The sequence below is a fragment of the Homo sapiens genome, chromosome X, assembly GCF_000001405.40.
Source record: "Homo sapiens chromosome X, GRCh38.p14 Primary Assembly".
Lineage (NCBI taxonomy): Eukaryota > Metazoa > Chordata > Mammalia > Primates > Hominidae > Homo > Homo sapiens.
Window position 1 is genome coordinate 10487856 of NC_000023.11, and position 19777 is coordinate 10507632.

The 19777-nt window shown below is 37.7% G+C and overlaps 1 protein-coding gene across 9 annotated transcripts in view; it reads right to left on the reverse strand.

Moving 5' to 3' along the window:
• Positions 1-19777, reverse strand: part of MID1 (midline 1) — a 388374-nt gene that overhangs the window by 42546 nt on the left and 326051 nt on the right. For 8 of the 9 annotated variants that reach the window (NM_033290.4, NM_001098624.2, NM_033289.2 and 5 more), the window contains one exon: positions 7729-7836. In NM_033290.4, coding sequence (NP_150632.1) covers positions 7729-7836 — 108 coding nt within the window. Of the gene's footprint in view, positions 1-7728; positions 7837-13551; positions 13705-19777 lie in introns of all 9 variants that reach the window. The other variant, NM_001193278.1, reaches the window with a different exon arrangement.

Genomic DNA, 19777 nt, shown 5'->3' on the forward strand with positions numbered 1-19777 from the left:
CCAAAGAGTATTTCATTGTGTGATTATGACACAAATTGTTTACCCATTCATCTGTTGATGGACTTTGGGCCATTTCTAGTTTGGGGCTATTACAAGTAAAATTAACATGAAATTTCACCTACAAGTCTTTTTTTTTTTTTTTTTTGGATAGGGTCTCACTCTATCACCCGGGCTGGAGTGTAGTGGCATCATTTCAGCTCACTGCAACCTCTGCTTCTTGGGCTCAAGCGATTCTCCAGCCTCAGCCTCCTGTGTAGCTGGGATTACAGGAGTGAGCCACCAACACCTGGCTAATTTTTGTGTTTTTTGTAGAGACAGGGTTTCACCATGTTGCCTAGGCTGGTCTCAAACTCCTGAGCTCAAAGCAATCCACCTGCCTCGGCCTCCCAAAGTGCTGGGATTACAGGTGTGAGCCACCGTGACCAGTCTCACCTACAAGTTTTGTATGGACATAGCTTTCCTTTCTCTTGGTAAATACCTAAATGGCTGGATCATATGGTAAGTGTATGCTTACTTAAGAAACTGCCAGCTTTCCAGCATGTACTACTTTAATTCCCACCTCCAGCAGTTTGTGAGAGGCTCTGGTTCCTTCACATTTTTGCCAACACTTGGTATGCGCCATCTTTTGAATTTTAATTATTCTAGTAGGTAGGAAGCAGTATCTCATTGAAATTTATTTTGCATTTCATTAATGACTAATGATACTGAACCATCTTTTCACGTGCTTATTTACCATCTGTGATGGTTAATACTGAGTGCCAACTTGATTGGATTGAAGGATGCAAGTATTGATCCTGGGTGTGTCTGTGAGGGTGTTGCCAAAGGACATTAACACTTGAGTCAGTGGGCTGGGGAAGGCAGACCCACCCTTAATTGGGTGGGCACCATCTAATCAGCTGCCAGCGAATATAAGCAGGCAGAAAAACATGAAAAGGCAAGACTGGCTTAGCCTCCCCGTCTACATCTTTCTCCCATGCTGGATGCTTCCTGCCCTCGAACATCGGACTCCAAGTTCTTCAGTTTTGAGAGTCGGACTGGCTCTCCCTGCTAGCTTGCAGACGGCCTATTGTGGGACTTTGTGATTGTGTAAGTTAATACTTAATAAACTCCTCTCTCTCTATATATATATATCCTATTAGTTCTGTCGCTCTAGAGAACCCTAAGTAATACATCATCCACACCTCTTCTTTGGTAAAGTTTTCAAATCTTTTATGCATTTTGGTGAAAGGCTTGTTTTCTTATTAATGAGTTTTGAGAATTTGTTATATATTCTGGATACAATCCTTTATTAAAATAAATAATTTGTAAATATTTTCGCCTAGTTTGTGGTTGGTCTTTTCAGTCTCTTAACAGTGCATTCTGAAGAGGTTTTTAATTTTGATGAAACCCAACATATAAATATTTTCTTTTATGGATAATGCTTTTGTCATCTGTATGTAAAGAATCTTTGCCTAACCCAAGGTCAAGATCTCCTCCACGTTTTCTTCTAGGAGTTTTACAGCTTTTACCTTTTACATTTAGATATATAATCAATTTTGAGTAAAGTCTTGTATATAATGTGAAGTATGGATCAAACTTCATATTCTTACATACAGATATCCAATTGCTCCAGCACCAGTTACTAAAAAGACAATCCTTTCTCCACTGAAATTGCCTTTGCATCTTTGTTGAAAATCACTTGTCCATATATGTATGAATCTACTTCTCAAGTCTTTTTGCTGATCCTTTGATCTATTTGTCTATCTTTATACAAATACCACCTTATATTGATTTCTGAAGCCTTATAATAAATCTTGAAATCAGCTGATGTTAGTTCTCCAACTTTGTTATTATTTTCAAAGTTTTTTTTTTTTTTTTTGAGACAGAGTCTCTCTCTGTCGCCCGGGCCGGAGTGCAGTGGCGCAATCTCGGCTCACTGCAAACTCCGCCTCCCGGATTCACGCCATTCTCCTGCCTCAGCCTCCTGAGTAGCTGGGACTACAGGCTCCTGCCACCATGTCTGGCTTATTTTTTGTATTTTTAGTAGAGACGGGGTTTCACCGTGTTAGCCAGGATGGTCTCGATCTCCTGACCTCGTGATCCGCCCGCCTCGGCTTCCCAAAGTGCTGGGATTATAGGTGTGAGCCACCGCACCCGGTCTATTTTTCAAAGTTTTAAATGATTATGCTATATCCTTTGCATTCTAATATGAACTTTAGAATCGGCTTGTCAATTTCTGCAAAATAACCTGCTGGAATTTTCATTGAGATTATGTTGAATCTACAGGTTGATGTGGAAAGAACAGAAATCATAACTTTTCTGAGTCTTTACCCCATAACATGATACATGGCTTCATTTTTTAGTCGTCTTTAATTTCTCTCAGCAATATTTTGTAGTTTTCAAGGTCTTTCAAGTCTCACCCATCTTTTGTTAGATTTATCACTAAGTATTTCATATTTGTGAGGCTGTTTTAAATGGAATTTCTTTTTTTAAATTTCAATTTTCAATTGTTACTAATATATTGAAATGAAATTGGCTTTTGTATTGTGATCTTATTCTATGTCAGATGTTTCAGTCTTTGCTTTATGGTTGTTTTTTTAAAATTGTTTGGTCTAAAAAGAAAAATCCCTCCTACTCTGGGATCATATGTATGTTTTCTGTTAATGTGGTTCTGTTAACAGATATTCTGTAGTTGAGCCATCCTTGTATTATAAGAATAAAGGCTATTTTGATGTGTTTAATAAAACACTGATGGATTACATTTTCTCATATTAAAAAAAATTTTTGTGTCTATATTCATGGGTGATATTCTCTCACTCTAGATTTTTTAATGTTGTATGTATTTGGTATCAAGATCATACACTCTACATAAAATGTCTTTTTTCTATTTTCTGAAGTAGTTTATATGAGAATGAGATTATTAGTTCCTGGAACTTCTGTTAAAGTAAGCTATAGAACTGTGGGAGGCTGGTGCCATTTTGGGGCAGAAATGCAAGTTGATGGACATTTTCAATGACTTATTAAATGTCTTCTGCTTTTAAATTTTTGGTTTATTCAGGTTTTCCGCTACTTCTTTATGTAAGTTTTCAAATTATTGGCATGAAGACATTTACACAATTTTCTTATGTTTAAAAAAGTCTCTACTGTATTTATGGTATATTTGTTTATGGGGCCCCACACTCTTTTTTCCTTCATCAACCTTAACTACAGATTGGTCTTTTAAATTATTTTTTACAAGTAAAACTCCTCCTGATTAAGGGCTGGCAAACTTTTCCTGTAGAGGACCAGATAGTCAATATTTTAGGCTTTGAAGACCACATACTGTCTCTGTCACACATATATTGTTTTTCTTTATTTTTTTTAACAACCTTTTAAAAATGGGGGAAAAGGCACTTTTTTTATTCACAGATGTTTCAAAATTAGGCTGCGAGTTGTTCTTTGCTGACAGCTGTTCTTGTTTGTTTCCTGTTTTTCTTTCATTTACTTTTCTTCCTTTATTTCTTTCCTCTGCTTTCACTGGGTTTATCCTGTTGTGCTTTTTCTAGCTTTATTTGAAAGCTAATTTTTTACTTTTAGTATTACCTTTTTTGGGGGTGGGGGGACAGGGTCTTGCCGTGTTGCCCAGGCTGGTCTTGAACTCCTGGACTCAAGCAATCCTCCTGCCTCGGCCTCCCAAAGCGTTGGGACTACAGGTGTGAGCTACCATGCCCAGCCTCTTTTTCAAAAGAATTAAAGCCTGTAAGTTTGCCTTCAGATACTTTTTTGCTGCTTACTACTTATGATATATTATAGTTCTTTTACTGTGGTTTACTTCTACATTTAAAAAATATTACTGTGAAGATATATTTATATATGAATAGATTTTAGTGTCAAAAAACTATAGAAACTATTATTTTATTGTTGATAATATCTAATGAGATACAGTGTGTGGTCTTAGAGGCAGGGTTCTATGGTATTCAGTTTTTGAAATTTGCTGAAATACTTGCTTTCAACCAAGTGCATGATTATTATTTTAAAAATGCCCCATGTGTAGGTTTTCCTATATACTTTCCTATCTTTTGAGTTCAAACTCAGTCGGCATTTGTCAAACTTTAATGTCACTCAGACGTAAAAGAATGCGTTTTATGGCATTCCCAAGGTGGTGACCAAAACTCAGTTTCCAAATTTCCACTGCAGCTGAGTTTTCTTTCTAATTTCAATATCTATATTTTTCCCTCCAAAACTGCTAATTTGTTGCTTTCCTATCTATTTTTTTATTTCATTTCCTTCTTTTGTGGCTTCACTTTTTTTGCTCTTTTGAAAGAGAAGTTATTCCTTCATTTCTTTCTTTGAACATCTTAAGACTACTTCTTTTAAAGTCTTTTTCTTATTTTCCTATAAAATTAATTTTATCTGGGGTAAGATAATGTTGTCTGCTGATTTTGCTGGCTGTATGTTTAGAAATTTAAGATTTCTTTATATACTTTGAAATTAAACTTAGAGTTTCAGTTTTAAAGGGAAGTAATTTATAATTCTTTCCTCTCTCACCCTCCTTGCTCAGCCTACCCTGCTCTGATAGTTTTCCAGTTGCCTTCACCTGGCCCTTGAGGTCATTATTCAGGAATCCCATCCTTATCTCTGTGCTCCTGTTCTGTGTGGGTATCAGAAACAGTGTGAACACAGGCTTCAAGCTAACAATGTGACTTTGCTAAAAGCTATGATATGAGGGAAAGGTTGGCAATAATTTTTGACTGAAGCATGAAGCCTTCTATAGCCCATGGCATTAAATAATGAGCCTGATTTCCATTCCCCATCCCATCTGGAGCACTTCTAGGTCCTTTCCCCAAAGCTTCAAGAACTATTTATCCACAGGAGCTAAAGCCAAAGCTACTTTGGCCTCTTCCAGACCAAATCCCAGTAGCCTGTATCCTCAGCCACAGTCATGGCTTTTCAGTTTTGTCTCATTTCTGGCCTGTGGAGATGTTTATCTTGTTTTTGGTTCAGCTATATGTCTTTGCTTTTGCATTTTATTAAGTTCTTTATTACTGACATGTATTTGGGGTAGAACGAGTGCACCGAAGCATAAACTCCATGCATCACTATGGCTGGAACTTGGGGACACCTGCACTACTCTGATCTAGCTCATGAGAGAAACCCTGGTGGTGGGAAGTCCAAGCTAAGTAAGAGAAGGGAAGGCAAGCTAGCCAGGAAGTTGTGGTGGAGTGCCCTTGCAGGCTGAATAAGGGCTCTCAATGCTGCCCACATCCTAATCTCAGGAATCTTTGAATATGTTACTCACATGGCAAAAGGGACTTTACAGACATGATTAAGGATCACGAGATGGGGATGTTACCCTGAATTATCCAGGTAATCCCAATGTAGTCACAAGGGTCGTTATAAGAGAAAGGCAGGAAGGCCTGTGTCAGAGAAGACGTGAGGATGGGAAGAGAGGTCAGATTGATGCAAAGAGACCATGAGCCAAAGAATGCAGGCTACCTGTAAGAGCTAGAAAAGGCAAGAAAAAATGGATTTTCCCCTAAAGCTTCCAGAAAGAAACAGCACTGCCAAAACCTTGACTGTCGATTTTGTTTAACCCAGTGAGATCGATTTTTGGATTTCCGAATTTCAGCACACTGAGATAATAAATCTATGTTGTCTCAAGCCACCAAGTTTAAGGTAATTTGTTATTGCAGCAATAAGAAACTAGTAAGAGTAAGGTGCAAAACCTCAATTAGAGAGGAAGAGGAAGTGCTTTTTCAAAAAAATTATTTATTTATTTATTTTTTACTTTGAGATCTATTGCATGGCATGGTGAAAACAGCAAATAAATAATAACGTATTATACAGTTCAAAATCACTAAGCAAGTAAATTTCAAATGTTCTCACCACAAGAAAAGGCTTTGAGATGATGGATATGTTAATTAGCTTGATTTAGTTATTCCATATTTCATCCATAAATTATAACATCACTTTGCACTCCATAAATATAAATGTTTGTCAATTTAAAATTAAAAATGAAAATAAACTAATATGTGTACTGAGAGCTAATCTCTGCATGCAACCATGTAAAGATAGCAAATTACCTTCTGTATGCATATGAATAATTAATTGTGACTGTACTTCAGGTGGCCATGTGTCTGAGAACCTGGAATACTTCCAGAATTAAGAGATGTGCACCTATGATGCACGATGATGATGGAAGATGAAATATATCCTGTAAGGATTCCAGATGGACACTCAGTGCTCTTCTAAATTGGACAATTCGTATGTGGGGAAAAGTAGCTTTTCGGCACATGTGAGTCCTTGGCCAGGGAATAATTTCATGTTAATCTGTTAATCTACTATACCAGCATCAATAACTATTTGATTTCACTATTTTTTAGATCATTTTAATAATTTATGTGTATAAATATTTTGTAATCTATATAGACAGAGTAATCTAAAACATTGTACAATATTAGAAGGTACCTGTTAAATTTTGTGGAAAACACAGAAAACCACATACATTAGCCACGGTTATCTCTGTGTTTCACTTAAAACTTGCTAGTATGTTTTAATTATATATATTTTGTTTTAAAGTACAACTATGAACAATAATAATAGAAATGGATGAATTTATTGGATCATAAATAAACGCTTCTATTTTTAAAAATCCATAGAAAAATTATCCTTGGCCAGGCATAGTAGCTCGTGCCTGTCATCCCAGCATTTTAGGAGGCAGAGGCAGAGGCAGGTGACTTGCTTGAGCCCAGGACTTCGAGACCAGCCTAGACAACATGGTGAAACCCTGTCTCTACAAAAAATATAAAAATTAGCCAGGTGTGGTGGCCCATGCCTGTAGTCCCAGCTACTCAGGAGGCTAAGGCAGGAGGATTGTCTGAGCCCGGGAGGCGGCAGTTGCAGTGAGCCATGATCGTGCCACTGCACTCCAGCCTGGGTGACAGATAAAGACTGTCTCAAAAAAAAAAAAAAAAAAAAAGAAGAAGAAAAAAGAAAGAAAAATTATCCCTGAATGTGGCAGAGAATTGGGTAAAATTAAAAGGATCATAAGTATTTCAATAAAAACATGACTAATTTTAAAATAGAATAAACTGATGGATTATAAAGTGACCAACAGTTTGTGAATGAATTTTGAATAAATAAGAAAGCAGCTATAAAGAATGTATGTCAATTTATCTTAAAAATATAGTTTGCTGTAAAACAATAGGAAATTAAAACATAGAAACATTAGAACATTAGAAAAGAAGTATTATTACTATATCCACAAAGGAGTATATGATATAGTGAAACCCCAGGGGTTTTGGGACCATGAAGTTATACCTGTATACATTTCCTCAAAAACATGGGAAAGTACTTCATAATTTCTATAAATAAAGTCAGATTCATTTTTAATTTATGTAATGCTATGCTAGTTTCTAGGATATCACAATGAATACAAAATAAACTCTGCCTCCACAGAACCCACCTTCTCATAGACAAGTGAGATAGAAAACAATGGCCATGATAGACAAGACCTTTATGCTACCTCCTGGCGCTGGGCAATGGAGCAGCCCTTGTATCACAGGTCTTCACAGGAGACCATAGTACAAAGAAAAGGATGGAGAAAAAACTGCCAAGCAAAGGCCTTTTAACTAAGTCTTAAAGACTTAAGAGGGAATTATAGAATGTATAGAAAAAGAGGGTTCTCAACATTTCCAAAGTCCCTGGAGTGTATTAGGATTTATTTTCTCCAGGTAGAGAATATGAAATCTTCTGCCCTAGAAATCATACCTTCCCTTCTTTGATCTTGGTTCCAATAATCTGTCGTCTTTGCTGAATGATCTCAATGAGAAGATCACACTCCTCTGTCAATTTGGCTTCTTGACGTGATGCATTGACCTACAGGATAAGTACAATGGTAAGTGTTAATTTGGCCTTTGTTTTTCAGTTAAGTGCTATTTTTAATGTATACTAGGATGTTTCTAGTAATCTCTGAAAAGATATTTTAAATGTTAACTCTTTGTCCGATTACGCAAGGATTGCAAATATAGGACTTACATGGCCACTTCCTAATTTGCATCCTTGGAAAACATTATTATCCAATGACAGCAGTCTTTTCTACTAAGCCAGACTCAGCTGCAGAATCTTTAACATAACATGTACATAGCCATTACCAATTAGTTGGAAAATGATGTGTCATGTGAAATATATTTGCAATTCCTACTTTTATATTTTTAAAAAGTATCAAATTTGCCCTGTTAAACATAAAAAAAGTAAGTTAAAAAAAATCAATATTATTCTTTTATGGAGGACAGATTACTATCAATCTCTTTTAGACAAATTTTCCGTAAGCAATGTAGCAAGCCTGTATCACATTTGACATTTCTCTTAAATACAAACATCAATTTTGTATCTAATCACTATAAAACATAAAAAGCACAAAAAGATGGTTCAATAGTTTATTAATCTTATGACATAATTTAAAATTATACTCCTAGTATACTTCTGAAAGATCAAGGTTCTACAACGAAAGCATAACATTCATGTGGAAAGGTGGATCATTAGAGTGGCTTGTATTTGAAGTTTTTGTGACTTGCATTCAAGGGAGGCTTACAATTAGCTCATTCTTGGCAACTAGGCCTGGGAAATACTCTGCACATGCTATTTCCTCCATCTCATGGCAATTCTGAAATGCTTATTCACAAACAGAAACCCAGAAACCACAGCTGTGAGAGATGGAGATAGCAGGCATGAGGTTTATTATTTTAACACAGCCACAGGAGAAGTTGCAATGTTACAAAGAATGACAATGGCATTGATTATTCTAGCATATCTCAGGGAGGAGACATGGCCCAGTCCCTAGCCTTTTTGATTTGGAAGGCTTTAATTGGAGTAATTTCATTCTCTATGAATGAGATAAACTGGAAGTAGGGTCATGAGTTCAAGATAAAAATCCACTGATGGCTGTTCACAGAAACCATGTCCTGTTTCCAGAGGCCCAGGATTCCTTGAATTTTATTCCTGATCATTGTTCAGACATAACATAGAGACTACTCAAGACATCTTATTGAGAAGATGATAGTCATTGGCCATTTGCAGTAAACCATGAGATTATGTCCTACATCAGTTTAGCAGACAGAGTTATTTGCTAAGTATTTGTTTAATGAACAAAGAGAAAAATTAAAAATGCATTGACTGAGAAGTACAAATGTGGAACTCAGGCTAATATTTCAAGGAGGATAATCATTAGGCTTCATTTCTCTTATTGTTATTTTTATGTCATCATTTCTAGCTCCCCTTGAGGTTTCTCAAATAAATTTAGCTATTGACATATTTACTTGAAACTTACACTCAGTAAATTTCTTCTGTTTCCTTTTGACCTCAAACTGAATTTAATAACTGACTACAACTGAGTTATGAAAAGGATGGGACCATATTGATAACATGAGCACATTATGATGGAGGAAGTAAAATTTCTAGAAAGTAGCACTGACGAAGCTTCTTTGCTCGACCAAACTTTAGTGTTGAACTTTCTCCTGGGCCCTTCTGCGCACTTTCTTGTAAACCAGTTTTAGCAAGAACCCTGCTGAGTTGGTTTAGCCAGAATCCTCCATCTCCATATCTGATCACTCTCAGTATCTGATTGGGTTCTTCATCCTTCACCATGCCCCAGAGGATGTCTGATCAACTTGGCCTACCTTCAGCAAGAATCCTTTTAGGTCAGTTTAACCAGAATCTCCCTTACCCCTGATGTTTCCTCTTAGTAATTTTCCATCCACTTATCATCACCCTGCTCCTTGGCTGTAAATCCCCACTGGTCCACGTGACATTGGGAGTTGAGTCCCATTCTATACTGAGGTCTCTTTCCCCTTATTACAATAGTCCTGAATAAAATGTTTTTACAGCTTTAACTACTGTCCAGCTCTAGTTTTTCTTTGACAGACCCCACACTTGAAAAGTATCTACTAGAATAAACCCGAAGAGCTAAGTTGTACTTGAGAATACGAGTTAAATCTGATAGAATGTAAGCTCCATATGGGCAGGGATCTTCAGCTGTTGTATTAAATAAGGTATCTATTCCAAGCACCTGGTGCCATGTCTGGCACAAAATAGGCATTCAAAAAATATTTGTTGAATAAATAAATAGGGAAAATGACCTTCCAAGAAGAGACAGGGCAAAAATGTAATGGAGCAAGTAGTTATCACTAGTAATCACTCAACATGCAGGTAATGGATTGGTTTCCAAGGACTGTGTAGACACAAAATTATGACCTAAGGATTGTTTTATTTGAGGGGGAGGGAGGAAGGGAGTTGATTTTTTTTGAGACAGGGTCTTGCTCTTGCTCTATCACTCAGGCTGGAGTGCACTGGTGCCATAACGGCTCACTGCATCCTCGACCTCTCAGGCTCAAGCAATCCTCCCCCTTCAGTCTCCTGAGTAGCTGGGACTACAGGCATATGCCATGACTCCCGGCTAAATTTTTTTAAAATGTATTTTTTTGTAGAGACGAGGTCTTGCTATGTTGCCCAGGCTAGTCTCAAACTCCCGGGCTCAAGTGGTCCTCCTACCTTGGCCTCTTAAAACTGCTGGGATTACAAGAGTGTGCCACTGCACCTGGCCAGGAATTGATTTTTTAAAACTGCCTTATTGGAATATATTTCACATATCATAAAATTTGTCCATTTAAAATGTGCAGTTTTGTGGGTTTTCGTGTATTCACAGATGATTTCATGTGCAATCGTCATCACAATCTAAGCCTAGAACATTTTCAGTGCCCAGAAAAGAAACCCATAATGTGTGCAGTCACTCCACATTTTCCCTACCTGCCCTAGCTCCAGCCCGAGGCAACCACTAGTCTACTTTCTGTCTCTTTATGGATTTGCCTGTTCTGGACGTTTCATATAAATGGAATCAAATAATACATAATCTTTTGTTTGGCTTCTTTCACTTAGCATAATGTTTTCAAGGTTCATCTGTGTGGTAGCATTTATCAGTACTTCATTCCTTTCTATGCCAAATAATATTTCATTGTATGAACAGGCCACTTTTTATCTCTTCTTTAATAGATGCACACTGATGTTTCTAGTTTTTGTTCACTATAAATAATATTGATATGAACATTCATGTACAAGTTTTTGTGTGCCCATATATATTCATTTTTCTTTGATATAGGGGTGGAATTGCTGGGTCACATAACTGTGTTTAATGTTTTAAGGAACTGCCAAGCTATTGTTCAAAGTGGCTGCATTATTTTATATTCCCATCAGAAATACATGAGGGTTCCAATTTCTCCACATCCTTGTTAATGCTTGTTATCGTATGTCTTTTTAATTTTATTTTATTTTTAGTGGGTGTGAAGTGGTATTTCATTGTGGTTTTGACTTACATTTTCCTGATGGCTAATGATGTTGACCATCTTTTTCGTGAACTTACTGGACATCTGTGTATCTATGTTGGAGATATGACTATTCGGATCTTTTGCTCCTTTTGTAATTGGGTCATTGTCTTTTAATTAATAGAATGTATTATTTCTTTACATATTCAGAATACAAGTCCCTTATCAAATATGTGATTTGCAAATATTGCCTCCTGTTTTGTGGGTTATCTTTGCATTTTCTTTATGATACCCTTTAAAGCACAAAACATTTTTAAATTTTAATGAAGTTAATTTATCTACTTTTCTATTGTTACTTGTGCTTTTGTTGTCGTACCTAAGAAACCATTGCCTATCCCAAGGTCATGGAGACTTACTGTTCTGTTTTCCTCTATAAGTTTTATATTTTATATTTAGGTCTATGAGCCATTTTGAGGTCAGTTTTGTGTATGGTGTGAGGGTAGGCTTCTAACTTTATATGGATAGCCAGTTGTCTCAGCACAATTTTTTGAAAGACTATTCTTTCTTTCACTGAAGTGTCTGAGAACCTTTGTCAAAAATCAATTGACCACATTGTGAGGTCCTCAAGTTTTAATGTTGTCACTAACATATTCCACACTTCAAGCTCTTCTGGCTTTGACTAAGTCCAGTGAGAACCCACTGCTAATTCTAGAGTACGGGCTGTGAAATGAAATGTGGTGTGTAATATACCCACATGGTGACATTAGGAAAATCTTAGGCTATCTCCATTTATGAGTTTTCCTATTTTGTAAAATGAGCTGAATAATATCTGCTCTCTTAGCCGTGTGGAATTATTGTGGTGAATACATGAAATAATATATGAAGAAACACCTAAACTTATGAAGCCATTGACAAATCTGAGGTACTGTTGTCTGCATTGAGAAGGGATTTTGTAAACAGATTATGATTTAGTTTAGGGTCCATTCACTCTCACAATCATTGGGAGTTGAGTTACTGCATGGTAGAAAAAGTATCCCAGTTGCCATTGTAATATGGGGCTCAATTTAATCCAAATTTTGACTATTTGATTTACAGAATGGATATGTTTGCTTTACCAAAAAAGTGGGCTGAAATCTTCCTTGTTGAGGCAAATGTGTTTTGAGAAAACTGGTATCACAATCACCATCACCCCAATATGTAAATTCCTAGAAATTTGGGAACAGGATCTATTCATTTTAGGCCAAGTATTTTTCCTAGATCTTTCAGAGAATACAGATTTAGCTTTCCTTTTGAAACCAGGGAAGTTGAATCTTGTTTTCTACTTTGATGAATTTCCAAATTCTTGTAACTCTAGTATTCTTATATTCCAAAAGATACAATAAAACAAGTTAAATACTATTCTATATTTCAGAATTTTTTCTACTACAAAGAAGTTTTCCACAGTTTTGCTGTTTCATGTGTCACTTAAACAAAGAATTAACGATTTGATTGGACTTTCTCATTAATTTCTATTAGTTCAAATATGGCAGGGTTTATTGGTTACTTGCAGTTATGTTCTGGTGTTTCTAGTTCCCAGGTTTGGTTTGGAAGCTAGCAGCTCCTGGTTATGATTTTTGCTTTCATTTCTGATTCACATCTTTTGATTCAGAAATCATTGTGGCTGATGGAAGTGCTCTGAGGAGGGCCAATCTAAGGATGCAGAAAACAAGTTCAAACTCTTCTTTCCACTTTTGTGCCATCAGTCTCCTCCTTGGCCCCTAAACTAACGGCAAGAGTGAGATGAAGATAATTAGGAATGATGTCCAGTGGTGGGTAATTACTGTCTCCTGCCTTTGGACCACACTGGAAATGGGGCACTTGACTTCTCAGGATGAAATACAGCTTAAAATTAGGCCTTCCTGGCCGGGCGCGGTGGCTCACGCCTGTAATCCCAGCACTTTGGGAGGCCGAGGCAGGCGGGTCACGAGGTCAGGAGATTGAAACCATCCTGGCCAACATGATGAAACCCTGTCTCTACTAAAAATACAGAAATTAGCTGGGTGTGGTGGCGCATGCCTATAATCCCAGCTAATCGGGAGGCAGAGGCAGGAGAATCGCTTGAACCCAGGAGTCGGAGGTTACAGTGAGCCGAGATCTCAGGCTAGGCTCCTCAATACTATGGTTTTTTCTCACCTCAAGTACACTCATGAGCAAATATCACATTAGCCCACCAGTATGAGAAACTCAGTCACTTTCACCTCATCTCATTTTTGACCTCACCCATCTGCTCAGCACATACCTTCTCTACATCTAGAGTCAGTTTTCTTTCGCGTCTTGAAATGCATCTTCTCCCCATCAGTCTTGCCTGTAGGGAGTTGCTGACCCACTTTCTCCTATTCCTAGGGTAATACTGCTGCTTCTCTCTGCCAATGACTTTCTGATCCTTTACAGTCTGATGAAAGAGATATTACAAAATTGAATAATGATGTGAATGTAGAAGCACAACAATCATATCTGGCCTGCCTAGTCCTGAGATGGAATTCAGCATTGAGGGTCACTCGGCTTCATTAATGCTCATATCTGCCACCAATAATCAGTTGCAGTCCCATGTAAGTTGCTACTGGGTGCACGGTTTACCTTCCCTTTCTAGAAATGCAGTTACGCGTAATCATTCCCCAGATTAGTTAATGATGACATAAATGGATTAGCTATTTTCTCGAGGGCACTTGGTTAGCAACGCCCAAAGTCTCCCTGCTAAGTTTTATGGTGTAATAGTGTTACAGTGTTTTGAGGAATGGGTGGGGTAAAGAGGACAAATATTTTTTCCTTGTCATATATGTATAAACATTAAAGGGATTTAGTTACATACATATACTAGAAATTGGACTAGGTGTCTGTGAAATGTTCTTTAGCAGTCTGTAAGTGGTTTTTAAGTATTATTTCTAAAACCTGGCTCTTTTAATTTGACTTGTATTCAACTGCAAAATGAGATGTTCAGTGCAGAGTATAAACATCATTAGATTTCAGACATGTGTGGGCTTAAAATCTTTAGAAATATTTGGAACTCTTAGGATGGAGCATGAGTGAAGGAAAAAAAATATCTGGCCAGTTTTCACAGGTGAAATTGATCTAGCATGCATTTTAGAAACTCTCATTTTCTCACTTTGCAGTGCTTTATTGAAATAAGTTAGCCATCCATAGACTTTCAGAATACAGCCTTATAATTCCTCTTGTGAAAATGACACACTGACTTGATATATCACTTCTTATTCGTACACAGACGGAAACACTGAAGTAAGCTTGGGACAGGATAACCCCAACGTGTTGGAGACAGGATATTCTATTTCTGGGTGTTGAGAAGAGGGTTGCTGCACTGCACAAATCCGGAGGCTACTATTCACTTTGAATTCCGCAAGAATGGTAGACCCCTTGAGTTGTGCCTCTCTCACCCCGGCCCACCATTACTGCACTCTTGAAATTGCACCATCAAACTGTGAACCCTTTAGTTTAAGATTCTGAACCTTGCCATCTTTGAAACCATTACCAAGGAGTTGGGAGTTTAAAAGACAAATGTCTACTTTACAAGTTTGCCTAGATTCGGCCTCATGGCAAAAACAAAAGCTGTTTCATGCCACGGTGAATAAATGTGACCTTCCATTCCAAGGTCACAAATTAAGGTGATCTTGAGAAAGGCTGAAACATTTTTATACATGATGCTAGGTTGATGTTCTTGTTATTGTTTAGACTCAAAAGGACTTTTCTCTATAACTAAGAATATGTAATTTTGAGTCTGCATCCAAATTCGAAGGGGTTAGTGGTACTACATAATGTGGCATAACCATCCCATCTCACTCCAAAGGAAAAACATTGGAGGAGTTAATTCCAATTTGCCCAAGGCTGAAGTAACTGAAACAAAACAGAGCTTTATATAAGCTGATATTTGGCCTGTGGATGAGGGTACAGGGAGAAAACTGTATGCAAGTGGGCTCTACACCCCGCTGTGTACCACTGACCAGGTGCAAAAAGAAATATGATGATATGAGGGTGCTTTGGGTTTTATTGCCAAAGACAGCTGTGATGAACATTCCAGACTCTGGGGCAAAAGTTAGACAGAGCTGCCAGAGGAACAATGAAAGGGATTCTAATACTTCAGTCTGTATATAAAACTGAGCCAAGGAGAATTGAGGAACAGCAGACAATATTACCGTAATTCATCTGATATGTTTATATGTAATCTTCACTCTGAAACTCTTTCACACCAAAGTCAAATACTTGTGGACCTGGCTCAAGTGAATGAGAGAGAGAGAGAATGGCCTGGCTCCTGAGGTCTCTGTCTTTGGAGGACAAACCAGAGTACGGGACAATATTTTTAATGTTTAATGTGTTAATTTAATATTTAACATTTTTGATCAAATCTTTTTAAACTCCAAGAAAGGCTTTTCAGAAAAATTAAAAATGGAATCCTTTCATAAAGTGCTTTTGGTGGGAAGTAATAGCAGTGATATAGTGATACAACTAGAAGCTACATGTAATCCTGCTTTAGCATAGTGACGTAGTGGAAAATTATTTGGACCAGAGGAGATCAATTCTACATATTGATTATCCAGATGGGAATTTGCTATGGGACTAAAAAAATAGCTCCGAGGAACCTCATGATAAATCCTCTTTTCTTGAGGTTTCTAAGATTATGAAGCTTGAGTGCTGGACAAGGAAGCAAGACACTATCAAAAATGGCAACACACTGTGGTGAGTAGAGCAATTAAATTCTTTCTTATGAATGAAATACAACTGTAATAAGGCAATAAAACTGCCTAGCAAAAAATGCCATTGCTAATGCCTAAAACTTTGAAACTTCACATAAAGGAGTTTTACTTCCAATAGTAGCATACAGAACATGGCCATTCACGATGTTGTTGATGTCGCTGTTAGTTTTTCAGTAAAGCAAAATCTTCAAACAGGTAAAATAATTTAGAGGGAGCAAGGGCTAATGGAGGCAGTGGTTTGGGGTTCAGGGACTTGAGGAAGTCTTCCCGGGATTGAAACACCAGGTTTTTATTGCTTACTAGTTGTATGTTATTGGGCATTTACTTCAACTATCTACATCTCAAGTTCCCTACCTGCATAATGAGGAAAATAACATTTGTTACCTGGCAGACCAGGTGCGATGCTGCTAAACATCCTACAACACATTAGACAGCCCCCACAACAGTGAAAGGTCCATCCCCAAATCCCACTAGTGTCAAGATTGAGAACCCCTGGGTTAGACTGTGGTGAGAACTAAATGAGTGAAAACATGAAAAGCCCTTGACAAATGCTTGGCATGTAATAATTACTACATAAATGTGAACGATCACTATTGCTAACAAACTCTTTTTATCTGGAATGTCCATAGATAATTAAAACTAGAGGTTCTAGGACCAGTCAGCCTGTGCTGGTTACCTGAGGACTTTCTAGCATGAATCAAAACTTTGATGCATCTACATCATCAAAATAATAGCTTTGGAAGCTATAACATGAGGCTTAACTCCAGAATTTTTGAAGCTACTTTTAAATCCTAACTGGGTTCCTTGAAGGCTGCCTCCTGATGCAATTTTGGATGGGGGAAGAAGAAGGGTAGAGAACATTCTTCCGTGGTACAGAGCAGGAGTTGGGGGACTTTTTTTTTTTGTAAAGGCCTAGATAGTAATTATTTTAGCATTGTGGGCCAGACGGTCTCTGCTGCAGCTTCTCAACTCTGCTATTGTAGTGTGAAAGCAGCCATAGACAATACGGATGCAAATGGACGTGGCTGTGTTCAAATAAAACTTTACTTACAAAAACAGTCAGATTTAGCATGAGCGTCACAGTTTGCTGACCTCTGGCATAAAGGAAAAATCATGGACTTTATATTCAGAGGACTGCAGGTATGAAAAATATTTGAATTTCTGTGAGAATGTTTCCTCATTTGCATACTTTTGATGAAAATATCTGTAAACAATCTGGTACATAGTAGATGCTCAATAAATATTAGTTTTCTTCTTTTAAGGCATGAATAGCTACAAGTACTGAATTAATGGAATTTCAATTTGAAAATGACAACATACTTGCGGTATGGTTTTCACTTTCCCCATGATGTCCTGCTGACTTCTGTCACAATTATAATAAATGTTACTCCTTCTGTAATGTTTTTCCTAGGCTACACTCAACTGACTTCAATCTTATATTCTTGGCATCAATATCACAGCCTTTTCTTTTTGTGTTTAATGGTAACTTTGTTAGAAGCAGTTCCAAAATGAAGAAGCAGAATGGAAGGGGTTGCTCATAATTCATTGAAAAACAATAAACTCCTCCCTTCCTTTCTCTTATTAATTACACACTTTATAAAACAAATGCTTCACACCCTTCCGTTTGGGCTGGGCACACTGAATGAAAAGAAATCTACTTAACCTGCCATGGGTGTTTGTCTCTATCACGTCTTTTTCATAAAGTTTCTGAAAAGTAGCGATTTCTATTAAATAATTTTCAACAAATGTGTTTGGCATTTGATGTTGTGGTCAGAGGGTAAACAATAACTTTTAGCAGATGACCATTAATGGAGTGCCAGGAAAGATGGAGGTGACGTGTTTAAGGGAAGGGAAGTTATTTCTAATGGAAAGAGGAAACCTCTACTCTATGACTTTACCTTAATCACTTTCAATCTTACATGTTATTTCTCATTAAGTGACATTCCTTTTAGTTGTTGTGCCATGATTCCTGAAAAGTGATGTACTGGAAAAATACTGAGTTGGACCCCTTTTTGGGTTTCAGTTACTCAGGTATAGAAGCCATCTGCTTCTGCAAAGTTCTGGAAAATGAACATTGGGTTTCTGCTCTTTGGTATTCCGTACAGTGAGTGAAATACACGTGATTACGTCACTGATAGAACTTAACTGGGAGGTACAACTGGAAAATGTTAAGCTTTGTTCTGCCTTCATGACGCACCCACAAGTGATATCTATGAAATATCTTGCCCTGTTGTTGTCATTCTAGAATATCAGGAGAAGTGAGTAGATTGATTTTTAAATATCTTTGATGTCCAGTGATTCACATGTACGTTTATTCAAACACAATGAAAGAGACTTGAGTTTAGAGAAATTGAACATGTGAGCTATAGCCATGACTAGAAAAAGAGACTTGTGCTATCATTTCATTTTAGACATGGTTGGCAGTTGTATCCTCCCCAAGAAGGATATGAGACAAGAATGGATGGTCAAATTGTTGCCAGAAAACACCAGTACTGGGTAGGAAGTGAAACAGGGACAACTACGAAGCCAGTAAAGTGTGACTTACCAAGACCACCTTGGGCAACTGGAGATTAACCCCATTGGGCAACTCTGGGAAACAGTACAGAACATTCCAGCTAATAGGGAAGAAGCAGAGTATTTATGTAACATCTCCCATCAGGAGCTGGTTGAAAGCTGTTGGGGGAAGGTAGGCATTAACTTCCCTTTGGAATTAGTTGGTCCTGGGAGGGGCAGAAAAAGTTCCCAGGCCAGGGAGATAGGACCTGTGAGTGCAATATGGGTATGGCCTTGACAGCTGTAGGCAGGAGCTCTTACACTAGAGGAGACTACAATATAACCATTTTGAGCTCTCATGGAGGACAGAGAGAGCTGGCATCACAGTCATCCAATTTTTCAGTTCCAATGACTTGTGACTAACTGTGGGGCTAAACAGAATTTGCATCGGACAGTGCTTTCTGTACTGGCCTTGGTCATTCCTGACTTCAGGGTCACAATCTACCTACAAGCACTCATTTGCAACTGACTGTAAGTGGGTCTAAGTTTGAGCAATGGTAGGCAAAGTTCCCTGAAAAAGAAAACACGTGACATCTAGCGTGTCAGACCAAAATGTATATTTCCTCATCTAGTGACTCCTAACTTCCATCATTTCAACTCATTGTGAAATTATTATTGTCTTTCTGGAACAATGGTTTGAGAACTTGAAGCCTCTGCAGTAAACTTGACTTTTTTAAAGCTTGAGTTAAGGATTATTTGGAGAAGTGTCCCTCTCTCTCCCTACCCCCTTTTTTTCCTCCCCCCTCCGCCCCCATCTCTCCCTCTTTATACATTATCATTAAGGTCAACTATATTTCTATAAACAAACCTGACAGATGTTACCATCTAACCTTCCTACCTGGGAAACAGAATGGTCTGTTGAGGTTTGTCAGGATCGGGGTCAGGGTTGTGGGAAGGGAGAGGGCAGCCTGCCAGGTAATGGAAACACTGCTTGCTTTAATTTTATTGCCAAGAACAAAGCCTTCTTATTGTTTAATAGAACCCTTAAAGGCAGGCCTCATTGGCATAGTTCTAATTTTTTCGAGACCACAAACAAGAGGAATTCTTTAGGGCCACTTCGTGAAAAGCAGAAGAAAAAAATAGTTTATTCTGCAAAAATTAAAGCAATCCTTTGTTTCAGTAGCCAGTGTCTGATTTCAGGTTGGCATCTGTATGTGTCCTCTCTACAGGGGCATTTGTTGGCATTGTCTGCATGGGCACCCACTCTTT